The 23,859-nt window shown below is 46.2% G+C and overlaps 1 pseudogene, besides 2 other annotated features; it reads right to left on the bottom strand.

Annotated features, from left to right (window-relative positions):
* Positions 4,028-4,527: an enhancer, noted in NCBI's record as "H3K4me1 hESC enhancer chr7:6408221-6408720 (GRCh37/hg19 assembly coordinates)". NCBI's record gives its function as "activates a minimal SCP1, AML or CMV promoter by ChIP-STARR-seq in naive H9 embryonic stem cells {active_cell/tissue: H9 hESC(naive)}" and the evidence as "EXISTENCE:reporter gene assay evidence [ECO:0000049][PMID:30033119]".
* Positions 4,528-5,029: an enhancer, noted in NCBI's record as "H3K4me1 hESC enhancer chr7:6407719-6408220 (GRCh37/hg19 assembly coordinates)". NCBI's record gives its function as "activates a minimal SCP1, AML or CMV promoter by ChIP-STARR-seq in naive H9 embryonic stem cells {active_cell/tissue: H9 hESC(naive)}" and the evidence as "EXISTENCE:reporter gene assay evidence [ECO:0000049][PMID:30033119]".
* Positions 7,347-7,666, bottom strand: RPSAP73 (ribosomal protein SA pseudogene 73; annotated as a pseudogene).

The raw sequence follows: 23,859 nt of genomic DNA, 5'->3' as shown, positions 1-23,859 counted from the left end.
GTCCATTCAGCCAAAAAAAATGTGTTGCCGGCCAGGTGTGGTGGCTCACACCTGTAATCCCAGCACGTTGTGAAGCCAAGGTGGGTGGATCACCTGAGGTCAGGAGTTCTAGATCAGCCTGGCCAACATGGCGAATCCCCATTTCTACTAAAAATACAAAAAATTAACCGGACATGGAGGTGGATGCCTGTAGTCCCAGCTACCCGGGAGGCTGAGGCACGAGAATCGCTTGTACCGGGGAGGTGGAGGTGGCATTGAGCCGAAATCTGGCCACTGCACTCCAGCCTGGGCGACACAGCAAAAAAAAAAAAAAAAAAAAAAAAAGTGTTGCATGTTCTCCTCTGTCGCATATGCATTTTCTGTTACTTGTTTTTAATGTATTTAGTGCTATGCCTCGTGCTTTGTACCAGGTTCTGGAGATAATGGCCATTAGACGGTGAAAGTGCAAATATTTTGGTATATTTCCTCTTAGTTATCTTTTGATATGCATAATGAACGTTTTGTAAGCAAAATCAAGAAATCATACAGAGTCGGTGTGACTTTTTTTTCTTTTTTATAAAATAGAGGCAGGATCTCACTATGTCGCCCAGTCTGGTCCCGAACTCCTGGGCTCTAGCGATCCTCCCACCTCAGCCTCCCAAGTTGCTGGGACTACAGGCAGGTGCCACCATACCTGGCTAATTTTTCTATTTTTGGTAGAAATGGAGTTTCCCCATGTTGCCCAGTCTGCTATTGGAACTTTTTTTTTTTTTTTTGTACTACTGCACTCCACCCTCCAGTCTGGGCGACAGAGCGAGACTCCATCTCCAAAAATAAAAATAAATATGCCAGGCACGGTGGTTAATTCCTGTAATCACAGCACTTTGGAAGGCTGAGGTGGGAGGATTGCTTGAAGCCGGGAGTTAAAGACCAGATTGGGCAACACAGCAAGACCCCCATCTCTATAAAAATTAGCCAGGCATGGTAGCATGCACCTGTTGTCCCAGCCACTTGGGAGGCCAAAGCAGGAGGATCTCCTGAGCCCAGAAGGTCGAAGCTGTAGTGAGTTGTGATCGAGCTACTGCATTCCAGCCTGGGTGACAGGGACACCCTGTCTCAAAAAAAATTAAGTTAATTAAATTAATGTACAACCCACATATGAAAATCAGTTAATTTAAAACTGAGTGAGAACAGTTGTCCAAGTTTAGGCTTGAGTATCTGCTTGGAATGTTCCCCATGGCAACAAATGATCCACAAAGTTAAATTTTTTAAAATTGTGGGGTTTTTTGAGACAGGGTCTGCCTTTGTCACCCAGGCTGGAGTGTAGTGGCATAATCACAGCTCACTGCAACCTCTATCTCCTGGGCTCGGGGATCCTCCCGAGTAGCTGGGACCACAGGTGCACCTTACCACACAAGGATAATTTTTGTATGTAATTTTGTATATTTTTTGCTATGTTGCCCAGGCTGGTCTTCAACTTCTGGGCTCCAGTGATCTGCCGGCCTCAGCTTCCCAAACTGCTGAGATTACAGGCATGAGCCACTGTGTGCAGCTTAAATTACAATTAATAAATGCGGCTGGGCACGGTGGCTCACACCTGTAATCCCAGCACTTTGGGAGGCTGAGGAGGGTGGATCACTAGGGTCAGGAGTTCAAGACCAGCCTGGCCAACATGGTGAAACCCCCGTCTCTTCTAAAAATACAAAAATTAGATGGGTGTGGTGGTGGGTGCCTGTAATCTCAGCTACTTAGGAGGCTGAGGCAGGAGAATTGCTAGAACCTGGGACGTGGAGATTGCAGTGAGCCAACATCGTGCCATCCAGCCTGGGCGACAAGAGCAAAACTCCATCTCAAAAAAAAAATTCATCAACTCAAATAATACTCGATTAGACCACGTGTGTTTCTTTTCTTCTTCTTCTTCTTCTTTTTTTTTTTTAAGATGGAGGTTCACTATGTCACCCAAGCTGGAGTGGAGTGGCTCGATCTCAGCTCACTGCAACTCCCAAGTAGCTGGGATTACAGTCATGCACCACCACACCCAGGTAATTTTTGTATTTTTAGTAGAGACAGGGTTTCACCATGTTGGCCAGGCTGGTCTCGAGCCGCTAACCTCAAGTGATCTGCCAACCTCGGGCCTCCCAAAGTGCTGGGATTACAGGTGTGAGCCATCGCCCCTGGCAACCATGTGTGTTTCTAAATGTGTTATGCTAAGGATGCAATCATACACCCTGCCTAGGTCCTCCACTCAAGGCCATTCATTCATTCCACTCCACTGGCTGCCTAGATGTTAGAATGTGAAATGAACGAAAGAGATCCCTGCTATTCTGCATTCTAAAACCTACATTCTAGTGGGGCAGACACATAATGGGCAATGAACATATAGTATTCATTTCCAGGTTAAGATGACAGATTGGATGTAAGTGTCTAATTTCACTTCTACCCAACATTCCACTAGAACTCCAGAAAGGGGACTTTTGAAAAAAAAGGCAGAAACCTAGAAGAGAGGGAATAAGAAAGAAGGAATGTGTGGACAGAATGGTTGTAACTGACTTAGCCACCTACACTGGCAGTGGGAAGGGCAGGTCAACACCAGACCTAGGCTGGGCCCAGTGGCTCATGCCTGTTATCCCAGCACTTTGGGAGGCCAAGGCGGGCGGATCACCTGAAGTCAGGAGTTCGAGACCAGCGTGTTCAACATGGTGAAACCCCATCTCTACTAAAAATACAAAAATTAGCTGGGTGTCGTGGCAGGCGCCTGTAATCCCAGCTACTTGGGAGGCTGAGGCAGGAGAATCGCTTGAACCCAGGAGGCGGAGGTTGCAGTGAGCTAAGATCGTGCCATTGCACTACAGCCTGGGCGACAAGAGCGAAACTCCATCTCAAAAAAAAAAAAAACAGATTTACTTCAAAGAATCACTTAAGAGCTGGGATTGATGGCACCCTGGCCTTATGGAACTGGGAGTAAGGGGAGAGTAGGATAAGGAAGACGGGATGAAAGCTGAGAAGCAGCAGGAGACCTGCATGGCCACCTGTTATGCACTCCGCAAGGAGGCTGCCCTCACCTTCACTTAGAAAAGACATGATTCCCCTCTAGAGAGAATGAAACAGAGGGTATTCGGCCTTAGGACCAGGCATAGGGCCTGGAAAACAAAACATAAAAACAGAGATTTAGTAGGCTGAAGCTTGAGCCTCCCCAATCCCTTCCTTCGTGGTTCCATGCTGATGGTTTCCCACTGGGGAGGAGGGTGGAGGGTGGGATCTGTCCAGGGCAGGAGGAAAAAAACAAACAGATATCAACATGGGGCCAGGCGCCATGGCTCACATCTGTAATCTCAGCAATTTGGGAGGTCGAGGCAGGAGGATTGCTTGAGTCCAGGCATTTGAAACCAGCTTGGGCAACATAGCAAGACCCATCTCTGGAAAAAAAATATTTTTTTTATTTATAGAAATAATATCTATTTTATTTATATAAATATATGTTATTCATATATATATATATATTTTTTTTTTGAGGTGGAGTCTCACTCTGTCACCCAGGATGGAGTGCAGTGGTGTGTTCTCGGCACGCTGCAACTTCCACCTCCCGCGATCAAGCGATTCTTCTGCCTCAGCCTCCTGAGTAGCTGGGATTACAGGCACCCGCCACCATGCCTGGCTAATTTTTGTATTTTTAGTAGAGATGGGTTTTCACCAAGTTGGCCAGGCTAGTCTCGTACTCCAGACCTCAGGTGATCCACCTGCCTCGGCCTCCCAAAGTCCTGGGATTACAGGCATGAGCCACTGCACTTGGCCTATATTATATTTATATATAAATATGTATTTATATATATATTTTAGGTAACGATAAGATATATATTATATATATTTAGACCCATATATATACATATTTTTTTTTTTTTGAGACAGAGTCTCACTTTGTCACCCATGCTGGAGTACAGTGGCATGATCTCGGCTCACTGCAACCACTGCCTCACAGGTTCAAGCGATTCTTCTTCCTCAGCCTCCTGAGTAGCTGGGACTACAGGTACACGCCACCATACCCGGCTAATTTTTGTATTTGTCAGTAGAGATGGGGTTTCACCATATTGACCAAGCTAGTCTCAAACTGCAGACCTCGTGATCTGCCCGCTTCGGCCTCCCAAAGTGCTGAGATTACCGGCATGCCCGGCCAGTAAATGGTTATTTTTAAGGCTAGAAATAAGATAATATTATTCATCCATGAATAAGAAGGGAGTTCTACTTAAAAAGGAAGCATTAGAAAGTTTTTTGTGTTTTTTTATTTGTGGAAATTAAAAGCAACTTAGCAGAAATTAAAAATACTCAGTTGAAAAGCTGGGACTGGGTGGGTGGGCGCGATGGCTCACGCCTGTAATCCCAGCACTTTGGGAGGCCGAGGTGGGTGGATCACCTGAGGTCAAGAGTTCGAGGCCAGCCTGGCCAACATGGTGAAACCCCGTTTCTATTAAAAATACAAAATTAGCCGAGCGTGGTGGTACATGCCTGTAACCCCACCTACTGTGGAGGCTGAGGCAGGAGAATCGCTTGAACCCAGGAGGCAGAGCTTGCAGTAAGCCGAGATCACACCATTGCACTCCAGCCTGGGCGACAAGAGTGAGACTCCATCTGAAATAATAATAATAATTAGCTGGGCGTGGTGGTGTGCACCTGTAATCCCATCTATTCGGGAGGCTGAGGCACGACAAGAATCACTTGAACCTGGGAGGCAGAGGTTGCAGTGAGCCGAGATAGAGCCACTGCACTCCAGCCTGGGCGATAGGGTGAGACTCAGTCTCAAAAAAAACAAAAAAATGCATCCTATAATAGAAAAAGAAAGAACAAAGAACAAGCAAAGGAGGAAAACAATCATGAAAATATTGAAAGGAAATTTCCCAGACCTTAATGACAACAGTTTACGGATGGAAAGTCCAACCCAGTGAGTGAAATAGTCCCAACCTAGAGTGCATCACTGGGAAACTTGAGAATAGCAACAGATAAGATCCTACAAGCTTCCAAAGAGAAAACACATGGCTTAAGGAAACAGGAAATAGAATGGTTTGGGGTTTCCCAGCAGTTACAAGGGTGTGGCAATGCCTTCAAAAAAATTCTATAGGAAAAAAGTTTTCACACAAGAATTCTGCTCATAGTCAAAAACTATTGATCAACTAGGCTGATAAAATAAGAACATTTTCAGGCAAGTTCTCAAAAAAGTTTTACCTCCCACACACCACATCCCAGAAAGCTGCTGGAACATATGTTGCTTCAGTAGGAGGAAATAAACCAAAAGAAAGAAGCTACAACAGGCAGAAATGGGAGATACCACAAAGCCGAAGAGAGAAGGGGCCTCCCAGGTCATGGGGTCTGTTGTATGACCAGCCCGTATCGGAGCAGGGAGACTGTGGCCATAAACCCGCACAGGGTCTATAACTGGGTCAATTTCCACCAGTGTGAACAGCCAGGAATAGTTACAAGACAAACCACTTTTGTTAACCAGCTCCCCTGTGATGACAATGCATGGAGGTGATAACAACGAGAAGTATATTCTTTTGTTTGTTTGTTTGTTTGTTTGTTGTTTTTTGAGACGGAGTCTCTCTCTGTCGCCCAGGCTGGAGTGCAGTGGCGCGATCTCGGCTCACTGCAAGCTCCGCCTCCCGGGTTCACTCCATTCTCCTGCCTCAGCCTCCCGAGTAGCTGGGACTACAGGTGCCTGCCACCACGCCTGGCTAATTTTTTGTATTTTTAGTACAGACGGGGTTTCACCATGTTAGCCAGGATGGTCTCTATCTCCTGACCTCATGATCTGCCCACCTCAGCCTCCCAAAGTGCTGGGATTACAGGCGTGAGCCACCTTGCACGGCCAAGAAGTGTATTCTTGGTGCCTCTGCCTCTCCTTTCTCTTGATTTTGTTTTTGTTTTGACACAGAATCTTGCTGTGTCACCCAGACTGGAGTACAATGGCACCATCTGAGCTCACTGCAACCTCCGTCTCCTGGGCTCAAACGATTCTCCTGCCTCAGCCTCCCGAGTAGCTGGGATTACAGGCACCTGCCACTAGGCTCAGCTAATTTTTGTATTTTTAGTAGAGACAGGGTTTCTCTATGTTGGCCAGGTTGGTCTTGAACCCCTGACCCCAGGTGATCCATCCACCTCGGTCTCCCAAAGTGCTGGGATTACAGGCATGAGCCACCACGCCCGGCCCTAACATTTTATTATACAAGTTTTTTTTTTTTTTTTTTGAGATGGAGTCCCTCTGTCGTTCAGGCTGAAGTGCAGTGGAGCAATCACCACACACTGCAATCTCTGTCTCCTGGGGTCGAGCAATTCTCCTGCCTCAGCCTCCTGAGTAACTGGGATTACAGGTGTGCACCACTACACCTGGCTAACTATCCTTTTTTTTTTTTTTTTTTTTTTGAGACAGAGGTTTGCTCTGTCCCAGGCTGGAGTGTAAGTGGTGCAATCTCGGCTCACTGCAAGCTCTGCCTCCCAGGTTCATGCCATTCTCCTGCCTCAGCCTCCTGAGTAGCTGGGACTACAGGCGCCCGCCACCAAGCCCGGCTAATTTTTTTTTTTTTTTTTGAGATGGAGTCTCACTCTGTCGCCCAGGCTGGAGTGCAGTGGCACGATCTTGGCTCACTGCAAGCTCCGTCTCCTGGATTCATGCCATTCTCCTGCCTCAGCCTCCTGAGTGGCTGGGACTACAGGCGCCCGCCACCATGCCCAGCTAATTTTTTGTATTTTTAGTAGAGACGGGGTTTAACCGTGTTAGCTAGGATGGTCTCCATCTCCTGACCTCGTGATCCACCCGCCTGGGCCTCCCAAAGTGCTGGGATTACAGGTGTGAGGCACTGTGCCCGGCCTTTTTCTTCTTTTCTTTTTTTTTTTTTTGAGATGGAATTTCACTCTGTCACCCAAGGCTGTAGTGCAGTGGTGCGATCTCGGCTCACTGCAACCTCCGCCTCCCAGGTTCAAGCCTCAGTCTCTCTAGTAGCTGGGATTACAGGCACAGGCCACCATGCCTGGCTAATTTTTGTATTTTTAGTAGCAACGGGGCTTCACCATGTCGGCCAGGCTGGTCTCGAACTTTTGATCTCAAGTGATCCACCCACCTCGCCCTTTCAAAGTGCTGGGTTTATAGGCATGAGCCACTGTACCCGGCCTACAAATTTTCAAATGCACCGAAAAGTTGAAAGAAATATACAGCGAACAGCCGTATGTCAACCCAAATTCTGCAATAAACATTTTATTACACTTGGTTTACCATGTATCTGTTTATCCATTCAACAATTCACATTGTTTTTAAATTCAATTCAAAAGAAGTTACAGAAATCAGTGCATGTTACCCTTCAACACTTCAGAATGCACTTTTTTTTTTTTAGAAACTGATGTTTATTTTCCATCAACCTATTTCCACGTTGCTTAAGAGCCCGTGCAAGAACACCTTAAGGCCATTCAGTTGTTGCTGTTACCCATTCAGCAGCCTGAGCAGTGGGAGCTGCAGACCAGTCTTCCGTGGCAGGATGACTGCTCCAGTCTTCAGCAGGGAACTGCTGGATAGGCACAGAGGGCACCTGCATGCCGTAAGACCAGTCTGCAACCTCAGGTTGAGTAGCGGTGAATACAGGAGCTGGAGCTGTCCATTCACCCTGAAATTCCTCTTTGGTCACAGCCTTTTCAGCAGCAGACAGGTTTTTAATTTTATTTTTATTTATCTATTTATTTTTCTGAGATGGAGTCTCGCTCTGTCGCCCAGGCTGGAGTGCAGTGGCGCGATCTCAGCTCACTGCAACCTCCACCTCCTGGGTTCAAGAGATCCTCCTGTCTTAGCCTCCTGTGTAACTGGGACTACAGGCACGCACCACCATGCCTGGCTAATTTTATTTTGTATTTTTAATAGAGACGGGGTTTCACCATGTTAGCCAGGCTGGTCTCGAACTCCTGACCTTGTGATCCACCCACCTGCGCCTCCAAAAGTGCTGAGAGGGCCGGGCAGGGTGGCTCACTCCTGTAATCCCAGCACTTCAGGAGGCCGAGGCGGTTGGGTCACGAGGTCAGGAGATCGAGACCATCCTGGCTAACATGGTGAAACCCCCATCTCTACTAAAAATACAAAAAATTAGCCAGGCGTGGTGGCGGGCGCCTGTAGTCCCAGCTACTCGGGAGGCTGAGGCAGGAGAATGGCGTGAACCCAGGAGGCGGAGCTTGCAGTGAGCCGAGATCGCAACACTGCACTCCAGCCTGGGTGACAGAGAGAGACTCCAAAAAAAAAAAAAAAAAAAGACAGATGATAAATTATATTAACACACTATGAGAATTAGCCAGGGGTGGTGGTGTGCACTTGTAGTCCCAGCTATTTGGGACTCCATCGCTTGAGCCCGGGAGTTTGACTGCAGTGATCCAAGATCTTGCCACTGCATTCCAGCCTGGGTGATAGAGTGAGACCTTGTCTCTAAATAAAGTGCTGGGATTACAGGTGTGAGCCACCATGCCCGGCCAATTAACATTCAATATTTGTTGATAGTTCCTTCTCTTCTTTTATTTATTTATTTAGAGACAAGGTCTCTATCACTCAGGCTGCAATGCAGTGGCAAGATCTTGGATCACTGCAGTCAACCTCCTGGGCTCAAGCGATGGAGTCCCTAATAGCTGGGACTACAAGTGCACACCACCACCCCTGGCTAATTCTCATAGTGTGTTAATATAATTTATCATCCTTCTTTTTACCTTCTTTTTTTTGTTTTTAGAGTCTCACTCTGTCACCCAGGCTGGAGTGCAGTGGAACCATCATAGCTCACTGTAGCCTCAACCTCCTGGGCTCAACAGATCCTCCTGCCTCAGCCTCCTGTGTAGCCGGGAACACAGGCATGTGCCACCACACCCAGCTAACTTTTTTGTAGAGACAGGATCTTGCTATGTTGCCCAGGCTGGTCTTGAACTCCTGGACTCAAGCGATCCTCCGGCCTTAGCCTTCCAAAAAGTACTGGGATTACAGGTGTGAGCCACTGTGCCCACCCTAATTTGCCATCTTAATGAAAAGAATAAAAACTCCAAGGAAGGTTCTGGATCCCTTCAAATACAAGTGTCTGATGGCCCAAAGAAAATGACTGTTTTCTCTTAATTATGTAAACCTTGCTGACATTTTGCACTGGAAGCATGGTATAGTGGAAGGCACACTGGGATAGAAGCCCAGGAACTGCCGACTACTGCTGCCAACCTGGCCCCAGGTTAATCACCAATGGGCTCTGTGACATCGTTAAGTCATTAAGCCTTTTTTCCTCATTGCTCATCTGTACAATGAGGAGAATGAACTTTGTGTTCTCCATTCTACAAGTCCGCAAGTCCACTAAGTGCTGTAAAGATGTGGAGGAACAAGATAGTACTTTTTTTTTTTTTTTTTGAGACGGAGTCTCACTCTGTCGCCAGGCTGCAGTGCAGTGGTGCAATCTTGGCTCACTACAACCTCTGCCCCTGGGGTTCAAGCGATTCTCCTGCCTCAGCCTCCCAAGTAGCTGGGATCACAGGCATTACACCTGGCTAATTTTTGTATTTTTAGTAGAGATAGTGTTTCACCATGTTGGCCAGGATGGTCTTGATCTCTTGACCTCATGATCTGCCTGCCTTGGCCTCCCAAAGTGCTGGGATTACAGGTGTGAGCCACTGTGCCCGGCCTGATTTTTTTAAAAATTAAAGTCATTTAATTTAAATGACTTTAAATAAATAATTTACTTTAAATGATTGTTTAACAATGTGCACATTGTTAAAACATCAGCTAGTACAGAAGAGCTCATACTTTAGACCTCAAAAAAAAAAAACAACTTTATTTTTTGTTTTGTTTTGTTTTTGAGATGGAGTTTCGCTCTTGTTGCCCAGGCTGGAGTGCAATGGCGCAGTCTTGGCTCACTGCAACTTCTGCCTCCTGGGTTCAAGTGATTCTCCTGCCTCAGCCTTCCAGATAGCCGAGATTACAGGCATTCTGACCTTAAGTGATCCGCCCACCTCAGCCTCCCAAAGTGCTGTGATTACAGGTGTGAGCCATTACGCCCGGCTTTTTTTTTTTTTTTTTGAGACAGAGTTTCACTCTTGTCACCCAGGCTAGAGTGCAATGACCCGATCTTGGCTCACTGCAGCCTCTGCCTCCCAAGTTCAAGCGATTCTTGTGTCTCAGCCTCCTGAGTAGCTGGGGTTACAGGCACCCATCACCATGTCTGGCTAATTTTTGTATTTTTAGTAGAGACAGGGTTTCACCATGTTGCCCAGGCTGGTCTTAAACTCCTGACCTCAACTGATCTGCCAGTCTCTGCCTCCCAAAGTGCTGGGATTACAGGCGTGAGCCCGTCACCCAGCGAGTTATTTGTTTTTTTTTTTTAATTAAAGTCATTTAGTTTAAATGACTTTATTTACTTTAAATACTTGTTTAACGTAGTGTACATTTTTAAAACCTCAGCTAGCACAGAAGAACTCATACTAAAGACCTTAAAAAAAACTTCGGGTTTTTTGTTTTTTGTTTTTTGTTTTTTTTTTGAGACAGGGTCTTCCTCCGTAACCCACGCTGGCATGCAGTGGTGCAATCATAGCTCACTGCAGCCTTGAATTCCTGGGCTCAGCCGATTCTCCCGCCTCAGCCTCCTGAGTAGCTAGAACGACAGGCATGCACCACTACATCTGGCTAATATTTTTATTTTTATTTTATTTATTTATTTTAATTAATTCATTCATTTTTTTGAGATGGAGTCTCTCTCTGTCACACAGGCTGGAGTGCAGTGGCACGATCTCAGCTCATGCAAGCTCTGCCTCCTGGGTTCACGCCACTCTCCTGCCTTGGCCTCCGGAGTAGCTAGGACTACAGGCGCCTGTCACCACGCCCAGCTAATTTTTTGCATTTTTAGTAGAGATGAGGTTTCACCGTGTTAGCCAGGATGGCCTCGATCTCCTGACCTCCTGACCCACCTGCCTCGGCCTCCCAAATTGCTGGGATTACAGGTGTGAGCCACCACGCCCAGCCTGTTTATTTTTTTAGACGGAGTTTCGCTCTTGTTGTCCAAGCTGGAGTGGAATGGCGCTATCTCGGTTCACCGCAACCTCTGCCTCCTGGGTTCAAGCGATTCTCCTGCCTCAGCCTCCCGAGTAGCTGGGATTACAGGCACACACCACCATGCCCGGATAATTTTTTGCATTTTCAGTAGAAATGGGGTTTCATCATGTTAGCCAGGCCGGTCTTGAACTCCTGACCTCAAGTGATCCGCCCGTCTCGGCCTCCCAAAGTGCTGGGATTACAGGCGTGAGCCACTGTGCCCGGCCAATATTTTTATTTTTTGTAGAGACAGGGTCTCACTATATTGCCCATGCTGGACTCAAATTCCTGGCCTCAGTGATCCTCCAGTGTTGGCCTCCCAACGTGCTAGCACTACAGGCGTGAGCCACAGAGATTTGCCAATGATTTGGTAATAAATAAAAAATTTTCAAACAGCCCAACACAGTGGCTCACGCCTGTAATCCCAGCACTTTTGGAGGCCAACTCTGGAGGATCACTTGAGGTCAGAAGTTCAAGACCAGCCTGGGCAACATAGCAAGACCTCATCTCTACCCTAAATTAAAAAATTAGCCATCCATAGTGGCGTGTGCCTGTGGTCCCAGCTACTTGGGAGGCTGAGGAGGGAGGATCACTTGAGCCCAGGACGTTGAGGCTGCAGTGAGGTATGATTGCACCACTGCACTCCAGCCTGGGGGACAGAGTGAGACCCTGTCTCAGAAAAAAAAAAAAAAAAAAAGCAAAAAAAAAAACTAGCTTATATTCTTATTGCTTGATCAATTGTTTCTTTTGTTCTTCTTTTTCCTCACCCTGTCTTATAGGCTGATTGTTTGATCAATTGTACACATTATCTCTTGTCTTTTGGCTGTGATACATCAGAATTTAGCTCACTGATACCAGCATTCCCCTCATTGTGGTATATCTCTCTATTTTAGTTCTCCTCTTGGTTACCAATGAAACTTTAAATAACATGCGATTCCTGTCTTCTTAGCTCCTCCCACTATTTCCTGGATCCTCTTATGTAAGATGATGATAACTCCATAGGTCCAGCTGGGCCAGCAGGGCCTGGGCCTGGCCCATCACAGAGCAAGCAATGCAGAGTTCATCAAGTTTGTGCTCTTAGGCCGGGCACGGTGGCTCACACCTGTAATCCCAGCACTTTTGGAGGCCTAGGTGGGCGGATCACTTGAGGTCAGGAGTTCAAGGCCAGCCTGGCCAACATGGTGAAAACACATCTCTACTAAAAATAAAAAATTAGCTGTGCGTGGTGGTGCATGCCTATAATCCTAGCTACTCAGGAGGCTGAGCAGGAGAATTGCTTGAACTCAGGAGGCCGAAGTTGCAATAAGCCAAGATCACGCCACTGCACCTCAGCCTGGGCAACGGAGCAAAACTCCATCTCAAAAAAAAAAAAAAAAAACAAAAGCCAAGAATACTAGGTAGCTCACAGAATAAAAAACAAAGGAAAAGTTGAGTAACCAGAACTCAGAAAAGATAGAATTCAGGGCCACTCAGAGACCCTCAAGAATCTTATTTTGGGGGCACTGACATCACCTTCGTCAGGAACACCTTTAGGTCTAGGCAAAACTGAAAGCTGTATTTCTTCTGCATTCCTGCACTTGTTAATATAATACATAATGAATATTTCAGGATAAATACAGCTTTGATTAATAAGAATCTGTTTATAATCTGGCCAGGCACAGTGGCTCACGCCTGTAATCCCAGCACTTTAGGAGGCTGAGGCAGGTGGATCACCTGAGGTCAGGAGTTCAAGACCAGCCTGACCAAGATGGTGAAACCCTGTCTCTACTAAAAATACAAAAAAATTAGCTGCGTGTGGTGGCAGGCTCCTGTAATCCCAACTACTCAGGAGGCTGAGGCAGAAGAATCGCTTGAACCCAGGAGGTGGAGGTTGCAGTGAGCTGAGATCATGCCGTTGTACTCCAGCCTGGGCAACAAGAGTGAAACTCTGTCTCAAAATAAAATAATAATAATAATAATAATAATAATAATAATAATAATCTGCCTAGGGGTCCCTGTGCCAGTCCACCCAGGTTTTCATTCCTGATGACTCGAGGAGTCTTGGTTGGTTGGATTTGTTCACCTGCCCACCTGTTGCGGAAAAGAGAAGGACCTAGTGACTCACAGTCCACCCCACCCAAACCATATGGAATAGGGTAGAGGAAGTCCCCCAAAGAGAATGGGAAGCTGTGGCTGGACAGACAGAAACAAGAGATATCCACTGTATTTATGATGACTAGGTTTAGTGCACATGACAGAGACCTACAGTGGCAATAATTTAAACAAAATTAAAGCTTTTTTTCTCTTGCAGGTAAAAATCCAGAGGTAAGTCATCCAGGCTGGTACATAGCTCTTCTCCATGAAGCCTGGTGCCCCAACCCCTTCTTCATGGGCCAAGATGGAGCTCTAGTCAGCACATCTAAGTCCCAAGAACAGGATGGAGAAACAGAGCTAGAAGAGGACAAAGAGGCTAGGTGCGGTGGCTCACACCTTTAATCCCAGCACTTTGGGAGGCCAAGGTGGGAGGATCATGAGGTCAGGAGATAGAGACCATCTTGGCCAACATGGTAAAACCCCGTCTCTACTAAAAATACAAGAAATTAGCCAGGCATAGTGGTGCATGCCTGTAGTCCCAGCTACTTGAGAGGCTGAGGCAGGGGAATTGCTTGAACCTAGGAGGCGGAGATTGCAGTTAGCCGAGATCCTGCCACTGCACTCCAGGCTGACAACAGAGTGAGACTCCATCTCATAAAAAAAAAAAAAAAAAAAAAAAAGTGGGGACAAAGAGAGGGTGCTAAGTGTTTTCTTCTGGATGATTCTAGGAAGCCATTGTGCTTCTTCTCACATCCCATTGGCCAGACATAGTCACATGACCATTCCAAGCTGCAGTGCAGGCTGGGAAATAGAGGCTCTGCTAAAAATTCTACTATCACTAAAGAAGAGAAGAGTGGGTCTTAGAGGACAATGGTCAGGTCCTGCCGTATCTACCATGTACATCTGGTGGATCTCACGACTCACACGCATATATCTTCCCATACATTTAATATTTTTAAATGCTCCTACCCCACCATAATTCAATCATTCTAATGTCACACAAAACCAATAACACACTTCCTCCTCAAAAGAGACAACTAGAGTCACACACAGGTACTGTAATAGCTCCAAGTCCAGGAACTCTGGGAAACATCCTTTCTTCAGTCTCACCTCAATATTTTGCAATCTGTGGACGAAACAGAAGTCTTTTTTCTTTTTCTTTTTCTTTTTTTTTTTTTTTGACAGAGTCTTGCTCTGTCACCCAGGCTGGAGTGCAGTGGCTCGATCTCTGCTCACTGCAACCTCTGCCTCCCGGGTTCAAGCAATTCTCCTGCCTCAGCCTCCTGAGTAGCTGGGACTACAGGCATGTGCCACCATGCCCAGCTAATTTTTTGTATTTTTAGTAGAGACAGGGTTTTACCATGTTGGCTAGGCTTGTCTTGAGCTCCTGACTGCGGGTAATCCACCCACCTCGGCCTCCCAAAGTGCTGGGATTATAGTCTTGAGCCATTGCTCCCGGCTCCAATAGAAGTTTAATCAGCACCTGCTCACCCTGTATATGATAATGAGAAAACGGACAGAAAATCTTCTTACATTTATTTTTAATTTTCATAATCTTTATTACAGATGGGGTCTTGTCATGTTGCCCAGGCTGGTCTCAAACTCCTGGTCTCAAGCGCCCCTCCCGCCTCAGCCTCCCAAAGTACTGGGACTACAGGTGTAAGTGACTGCACCCAGTTTAGAAACATTTTTAAATAATAGTATGACCCAGGCCAGGCATGGTGGCTCACGCTTGTAATCCCAGCACTTTGGGAGGCCGAGGCAGGCAGATCACGAGGTCAGGAGATTGACACCATCCTGGCTAACACGGCGAAACCCCGTCTCTACTAAAAATACAAAAAATTAGCCGGGCGTGGTGGCAGGCGCCTGTAGTCCCAGCTACTGGGGAGACTGAGGCAGGAGAATGGTGTGAATCCAGGAGGCGGAGTTTGCAGTGAGCCGAGATCGTGCCACTTCACTCCAGCTTGGGTGATAGAGTGAGACTCCGTCTCAAAAAAAAATAAATAAAAAATAAAAATAAATAAATAAATTATGGACAATTTCAAATGTATGCAAAAATGGACAGAATAGTAGTGAATCTCCATGTATATGTCATCTGATTTAACAATTATCAATTTATGGGTAATCTTGGGTCATCTGTACCCACTCTCCTACATTGTCATTACTTGGAAGTAAGTTCCATATATCATACAGAACAGCTATAAACATTTCAATATGTATTTCTTTTTTGGGACGGAGTCTCGCTCTTTCGCCAGGCTGGAGTGCAGTGGCGCTATCTTGGCTCGCTGCAACCTCCGCCTCCCGGGTTCAAGCGATTCTCCTGCCTCAGCCTCCCGAGTAGTTGGGACTACAGGCATGTGCCATCGCGTCCAGCTAATTTTTGTATTTTTAGTAGAGACGGAGTTTCATTCTGTTGGCCACGATGGTCTCAATCTCCTGACCTCATGATTTGCCAGCCTCGGCCTCCCAAAGTACTAGGATTACAGGCAGGTGCCTGGCTTCAGTATGTATTTCTAAAAGAGAAACTATTTTTACAAACTTAACTGTAATTCCATTATTGCACCAAAAAAAAAAAAAAAATTATTCCAGGCCAGGGGCGGTGGCTCACGCCTGTAATCCCAGCATTCTGGGAGGCCAAGGTGGGCAGATCACGAGGTCAAGAGATCGAGACCATCCTGGCCAAATGGTGAAACCCCGTCTCTATTAAAAATACAAAAATTAGCTGGGCGTGGTGGTGTGTGCCTGTAATCCCAGCTACTTGGGACGCTGAGGCAGGAGAACTGCTTGAATCCAGGATGCGGAGGTTGCAGTGAGCCAAGATCGTGCCACTGCCCTCCAGCCTGGTAACACAGCGAGAGACTTCGTCTCAAAAATAAATAAATAAATAAATAAATAAATAAATAAATAAAATTCCGTAAAATCATCAAATTCCAATTTTTGCCAATTCTCCTCCCTGCTTTTATTCACAGTTGACTTTCCTTTGTTTTGTTTTGAGACAAGATTTTGTTCTGTCACCCAGGCTGGAGTGCAATGGCACAATCTCAGCTCACTGCAACCTCCACCTCCCAGGTTCAAGTGATTCTCCTGCCTCAGCCTCCTGAGTAGCTGGGATTACAGGCGCTCGCCACCACGCCCAGCTAACTTTTGTATTTTTAGTAGAGATGGGGTTTCACCATGTTGGTCAGGCTCATCTCAAACTCCTGACCTCAGGTGATCTCCCCACCTCGGCCTCCCAAACTGCTGGGATTACAGGCATGAGCCATCGCGGCCAGCCTAATTGTTTTTTTTCTTTTTGGTAGAGACGGGGTTTTGCCACGTAGTCTAGGCTGATCTCAAACTCCTGGGCTCAGTTGATCCTCTCACTTCAGCCTCCCAAAGTGCTGGGATTATAGGTGTGAGCCACCACACCCAGCCTACAGTTAACTTTTTAAAAATAAAGTCCATACGATGGACTTGGCAGATACATTTCTCAAGCCTTCCTCTCTTTTTAAAATTACATCTCAAGTCTTTTTAAATTCATGGGTTCCCTTCCACTCTTTCTCTTCCCTTTTTTTTTTTTTTTTTTTTTTTTTTTTTTTTTTTTTTTTTGAGACAGAGTCTCGCTCTGTCGCCCAGGCTGGAGTGCAGTGGCGTGATCTCGCCTCACTGCAAGCTCCGCCTCCCGGGTTCATGCCGTTCTCCTGCCTCAGCCTCCCGAGTAGCTGGGACTACAGGCACCCGCCACCACACCCAGCTAATCTTTTTTTTTGTATTTTTAGTACAGACGGGGTTTCACCGTGTTAACCAGGATGGTCTCGATTTCCTGACCTCGCAATCCGCCCGCCTTGGCCTCCCAAAGTGCTGGGATTACAGGCATGAGCCACCACGCCTGGCCAGAAAAATGTATTCTTGTTAACTACCCGCTTACCTTGAAGTACAGCCCACAGTTCATACAGGTAAAGCAGGATATAATTGCTTCATCCTTTCATTTACTAGTTTACAAAAATGGGTGTCTCTCCAAGCATTTTCCAAAGGTTTCCCACGAGATTGTTTTTGCTTTGTGTAATTGAGTACTGCATTGGGTTGAATAGGGTCCTCGAAAAATTCATATCCACCCAGAACCTAAGAATGTGGCCTTATTTGGAAATGAGAGTCTTTGCTGAGGTAACTGGCTACGATGAGGTCACTCTGGAGTAGGGAGAGCCCTAAATCCAAGGCTGATTTTCACAAGAGGAGAGTTGGGGTACGGCAGCTAACGCCTGTAATCCTAACATCAAGGCAGGAGAATTGCTTGAGGCCAGGAGATTGAGACCAGCCTGGGCAACATGGTGAGACCCCCCCCCTCTACAAAAAATAAAATAAAAAATTACCTGAGGCCAGGCACAATGGCTCATGTCTGTAATCCCAGCACTTTGGGAGGTCAAGGCGGGTGGATCACCTGAGATCAGGAGTTCAACAGCAGCCTGGCCAACATGGTGAAACCCTGTCTGTACTAAAAATACAAAAATTAGCCAGGTGGCGTGACATGCGCCTGTAATCCCAGCTACTCTGAAGGCTGAGGCAGGAGAATTGCTTGCAGAGGTTGTAGTGAGCCGAGATGATGCTACTGCACTCCAGCCTGGACAACAGAACAAGACCCTTTCTCAAAAATAAATAAATAAAAATTAAAATAATAAAAAAAAAACAGTTACCTAGGTGTGGTAGCATGCACCTGTGGTGTGGTCCCAGCTATTCAGGAGGCTGAGGTGGGAGGATTGCTTGAACCTGGGAGGTCAAGGCTGTAGTGATAGTGGGCTATGATAGTGCCACTGTACTCCAGCCTTGGTGACACAACGAGACCCTGTCTCAAGAAAAAATAAATAAATAAAAACTAAATAAATTGGGCTGGGCACAGTGGCTCACGCCTGTTAATCCCAGCACTTTGGGAGGCCAAGGCGGGTGGATTACCTGAGGTCAGGAGTTCGAGATCAGCCTGGCCAACATGACGAAACTCCATCTCTACTAAAAATACAAAAATTAACTGGGCATGATGGCACATACATGTCTGTAATCCCAGTTACTCGGGAGGCTGAGGCAGGAGAATTGCTTGAACCCGGGAGGCGGAGGTTGCAGTAAGAAGACATCACGCCACTGCACTCTAGCCTGGGTGACAGAGCAAGACTCCATCTCAAGAAAGAAAAAAAAAAAAATTAGCTGGGTGCAGTGGCTCACGCCTGTAATCCCAACACTTTGGGAGGCCAAGGCAGGCGGATCACCTGAAGTCAGAAGTTTGAGACCAGCCTGGCCAATATGATGAAACCCCGTCTCTACTAAAAATACAAAAATTAGCTGGGCATGGTGGCATGAGCCTGTAATCCCAGCTACTTGGGAGGCTGAGACAGGAGAATCTCTTGAACCCGGGAGGCAGAGGTTGCAGTGAACTGAGATCAGGCCATTGCACTCCAGCCGGGCAACAAGAGCAAAACTCAGTCTGAAAAAAAAAAATTACAGTTTTAATGTTTCTTCAAATAGTTCTTCTTTTTGTGTGGTTATATCACTAACTGGATATACAGATTTCACTTGTTTCATTTTGCTTTCAGGTTTTATGTATTTTTTAGAAATTTAATTTTGTTTTACCACTGTGGAAAATATTTACATGGTTCCAAAGTCCAATTCTAAAAACCAAGATATATGCTGGGAAGTATAACTTTTTTTTTTTTTTTGAGACAGAGTCTTGCTCTGTCACCTAGGCTAGAGTGCAGTGGCAAGATCTCCGCCCACAGCAACCTCCACCTCCCGGGTTCAAGCAATTCTTGTGCCTCAGCCTCCCAAGTAGCTGGGATTACAGGCGCGTACCACTACGCCTGGTTAATTTTTGTATTTTTAGTAGAGACAGGGTTTTGCCATGTTGGCCAGGCTGATCTCCATCTCCTGACCCCAAGTGATCTACCCGCCTCATCCTCCCAAAGTGCTGGGATTACAGGCATAAGCCACCTCACCTGGCCAAACCACTTTAAAATAAATTTATGGTATATCCTTTCATTTAAAGAACAAATAAAAACACATGTGTGTTTGTGTATATTTGCATATATGTATAGTATATAACATTTATGTATGTATATGTGTTTGTGTACATCTATATACACATATATATATGTGTATATCCTTCAATTTCTTTTTCTTTTTCTTTTTTTTTTTTTTTTTGAGGTGGGGGTCTCACTCTGTCACCCAGGCTGGAGTGCAGTGGCATGATCTTGGCTCATTGCAACCTCCACCTCCTGGGCTCAAGCAATCCTCCCACCTCAGCTTCCCAAACAGCTGGGACTACAGGTGTGTGCCACCACATCTGGCTAATTTTTGTATTTTTTTGTAGAGATGGTATTTCACCATACTGCCCAGGCTGGTCGCAAACCATCAGGCTGAAGCGATCCTACTGCCTTGGCCTCTCAAAGTGCTGGGATTACAGGTGTGAACCACCACACCTGGCTCCCTCGCTCCCTCCCTCCCACCTCTTTCTTTCCTTTCTTCCCGCCCTCCCTCCCTTCCTTCCTTCCTCCCTCCCTTTCTCTCTTTCTTTCTTTCTTGATGGAGTTTCGCTCTTGTTGCCCAGGCTGGAGTGCAATGACGCAATCTCAGCCACCACCACTGCGCCTGGCCTAAACTTGCATTCTTCTAAGGACGTGAGGGATCTAACCATGAAAATAGCTACCATTTAGGCCAGGCGCGGTGGCTCACACCTGTAATCCCAGCACTTTGGGAGGTCAAGGCGGGAGGATCACTTGAGCCCAGGGGTTTGAGACCAGCCTGGGCAACCTAGCAAATCCCCGTCTCCACAAAAACAAACACAAAAACAAAATCAGCAGCTGGGTGTAGTAGTGTGCATCCATAATCTCAGCTACTTGGGAGGCTGTGCTGGGAGGATCGCTTGAGCCTAAGAGGTTGAGGCTACAGTGAGCTGAGACCTGCCACTGCACTCCAACCTGGGCAACAGAGCCAGATCCTGTCTCAAAAAAAAAAAAAAGAAATGAGGCAGGAGAGGCTGGGCGCGGTGGCTTACTCCTGTAATCCCAGCACTTTGGGAGGCTGAGGTGGGCAGATCACTTGAGGTCAGGAGTTCAATACCAGCATGGCCAACATGGTGAAACCCCATCTCTACTAAAAATACAAAAATTAGCTGGGCGTGGTGGTGGGCGCCTGTAATCCCAGCTACTTGGGAGGCTGAGGCAGGAGAATCACTTGAACTTGGGAGGTGGAGGTTGCAGTGAGCCTAGATTTCACCACAGCACTCCAGCCTGGGCAACAGAGCCAGGCTCTGTCTCAAAAAAAAAAAAAAAAAAAAAAAAGAAAGAAAGAAAAAGAAAAAAAAAAGGAAAGAAAAGATAAAGAAAATAGCTACCACCACTTTCTCGGTGTCCTCTATCTGCCTGGGACTGTGCTAAATGCCGTGTATACCTGATCTCATTTATTTCTCATAAATACCCAGTAGGATGGCTGTCCTTATCCTCATTTTACAGAACCAGGTCACAGGGCACCAAGAAATTGCTAAATGTGAAACCTGACTTCTCTGTGCTTTCCTCACCACCAGATCATGCTGAAAAGAAAAAAGGCTTGGCTGGGCTCAGTGGCTCATGCTTGTAATCCCAGAAATTTGGGAAGCTGAGGCAGGCAGATCACTTGAGGTCAAGAGTTTGAGAGCAGCCTGGCTAACCCATGGTGAAACCCCATCTCTACTAAAAATACAAAAATTAGTGGGGTGTGGGGGTGCTTGCCTGTAATCTCAGCTACTCAAGAGGCTGAGGCAGGCGAATTGCTTGAACCTAGGAGGCAGAGGTTGCAGTGAGCCGAGATAGTGCCATTGCACTCCAGCATGGGTGACAGAACGAGACTCTATCTCAAAAAAAAAAAAAGAAAAAAAAAGCCTTGACTATTTCTCTCACCTGAGACACAATTTTCATAGCAGGGTGAAGATTGTAGGCAAAGGACATGGATCCTGTTGATCAATCATTTTATTTTTATATTTATTTATTTATTTACAGACGGAGTCTCACTCTGTTGCCCAGACTGCAGTGCAATGGCGTGATCTTGGCTCACTGCAATCTCTGCCTCCCAGGTTCAAATGATTCTCCTGCCTCAGCCTCTTGAGTAGCTGGGATTACAGGTGCCTGTAATCCCAGCTACTCAGGAGGCTGAATCACTTGAACCCAGGAGGTGGAGGTTGCAGTGAGCCGAGATCGTGCCACTGCACTCCAGCCTGGGTGACAGAATGAGACTCTGTCTCAAAAAACAAAAATATTATTTTTAATAATGATAATTATTGAAGGCCATGGTCTTTCAAAGTGTTGGGATTACAGGCATGAGCCACTGTGTTTGGCTCACACTGATTTATAATTAGTTCTGTCTGTGTTTGTTTCTCAAACCATAATGAGGAAAATGTATTCCCAAAGATGCTCAGTGACACTGGGCTGAGCTGAATGCTAGGTCAGGAACCTAGGCTGATTTCCCAGCCGGCACTGTAGTTTGGAACAATTAACCCAGATATACCTCAAATATTGTTAGCTTTCCCATGTGTCTCTTTGACCTCTCATTGCATCTCATTACAACAGGCTTCTTACCTTGCCCAGTTTAGCGTTGTGGTAATTTTGCTTGCCATTGTTTACAGCAACCGAATGGCTTGTTAAAATAACTCTCTGCCTAGGTAGAAGGATGGCTTGAGGTCAGGGATTCCAGACCAGCCTGGGCAACATAGTGAGAGCCTATCTCTACCAATAATAATAATAATAATAATAATAATAATAATAATAATAATAATTAATAAATAAATAAAATAAAATAAAAATAAATTAGCCGAGCATGAGGCAGGCGTGGTGGCTCACGCCTGTAAACGCAGCACTTTGGGAGGCTAAGGCAGGCGGATCACCTGAGGCTGGGAGTTCAAGACCAGCCTGACCAACATGGAGAAACCCCATCTCTACTAAAAGATACAAAATTAACCGGGCGTGGTGGTGCATGCCTGTAATCCCAGCTACTCAGCAGGCTGAGGCAGGAGAATTGCTTGAACCCAGTAGGTGGAGGTTGTGGTGAGCCAAGATTGCATCATGGCACTCCAGCCTGGGCAACAAGAGTGAAACTCCGTCCCCCGAAAAAAAAAAAAAAATTAGCCGAGCATGGTGGCGCATATCTGTAGTCCCAGCTATTCAGAAGGCTGTGGCAGGAGAATGGCTTGAGCGAGGGAGGTTCAGGGTGCAGTGAGCTGTGATCATGCCACTGCACTCCAGACTGGGCAAAATAGCAAGACCTCTCATCTTGAAATAAAATTTTTAAATGCCTCCCTGCCACAATGGCATTTAGAGACAATAAAAATGAGTAACCAGGGAGGATATGTATGCATGTGTGTATGATTCTGGGTGTGTGTGTGTGTGTGTGTCTGTACATATACATATACCTATCTCTCTCTTTATATATAATCACATGTTACCTCAGCCCATCTGGTCTTTCCACATAGTTCAAATAAACAGGACTGACAAACTTCCACCAGTGAAAATCTCTACAAGCCTAAGAATAAATTTAGCTGATCTTCAAGCCTGTTTACACATTACCAGATTGATTCTGTGTTTTCTGGCAAATGTTCCACTGAAGACTCTACCCTTTAAAATGTTTAAATTATTTGCCTAGATACTGCATAAAGACATTTTCATTCTACTTTTTATCAAGAGGATAGCTTGAAAAACAACAATTCTGCAGCATGTGCACTGCGGTGCTCAAGGAGGGCATGCAATGTGCACTGAAAGGAAAAAATAGCTTCCAAAAAAAGGAAGTGAGCTTTTTAATGTCAATGATAAATGTGGCAAAATATAATGCTGCAAAAATAAGGGAAACTAAAGGTTTTTTTTTTTTTTTTTTTTTGAGACAGGTTCTCACTCTGTTTTCCAGACTGGAGTACACTGGTGTGATCATACCACATTGCAGCCTTGAACTCCTGGGCTCAAGGATTCCTCTCACCTCAGCCTCCCAAGTAGCTGGGACCACAGGCGTGCACCACCATGCCCGGCTAGTTTTTTTCACTTTTTGTAGAGACAGGATTTTGCTATGTTGCCCAGGCTGGTCTTGAACTCCTGGGCTCAAAGGATGGACCTGCCTTGGCCTCCCAAATGCTGGGATTACAGGAGTCGGGCACCGCAACTGGCCTATTTTATTTGATTTATTTAAAAAATGCTAATCCCAGCACTTTGGGAGGCCGAGGTGGGCAGATCACCTGAGGTCAGGAGTTCGAGACCAGCCTGGCCAAAATGGTGAAAACCCCTGTCTACTAAAAATACAAAAATTAGCTGGGCATGGTGACGTGCACCTGTAATCCCAGCTACTCAGGAGGCTGAGCCTGGGGAATCACTTGAACTCGGGAGGCGGAGGTTGCAGGAGGCGAGATCATGCCATTGCACTCCAGCCTGGGCAACAAGAGCGAAACTCCATCTCAAATAAAAAGAAAAAAAAAGATTTAGTACTGCAACCTTTTTTTTTTTTTTTTTTTTTTTGAGACGGAGTCTTGCTCTGTCGCCCAGGCTGGAGTGCAGTGGCTCGATCTCGGCTCACTGCAAGCTCCGCCTCCTGAGTTCACGCCATTCTCCCGCCTCAGCCTCCCGAGTAGCTGGGACTACAGGCGCCCGCCACTACGCCTGGCTGATGTTTTGTATTTTTAGTAGAGACGGGGTTTCGCCGTGTTAGCCAGGATGGTCTCGATCTGCTGACCTCGTGATCCGCCCGCCTCGGCCTCCCAAAGTGCTGGGATT

Source organism: Homo sapiens, chromosome 7 (genome assembly GCF_000001405.40).
Source record: "Homo sapiens chromosome 7, GRCh38.p14 Primary Assembly".
In the NCBI taxonomy this organism is placed as follows: Eukaryota; Metazoa; Chordata; class Mammalia; order Primates; family Hominidae; genus Homo; species Homo sapiens.
Note: the sequence above shows the minus strand (reverse complement) of the source record. Positions and strands in the feature narration are given on the sequence as shown.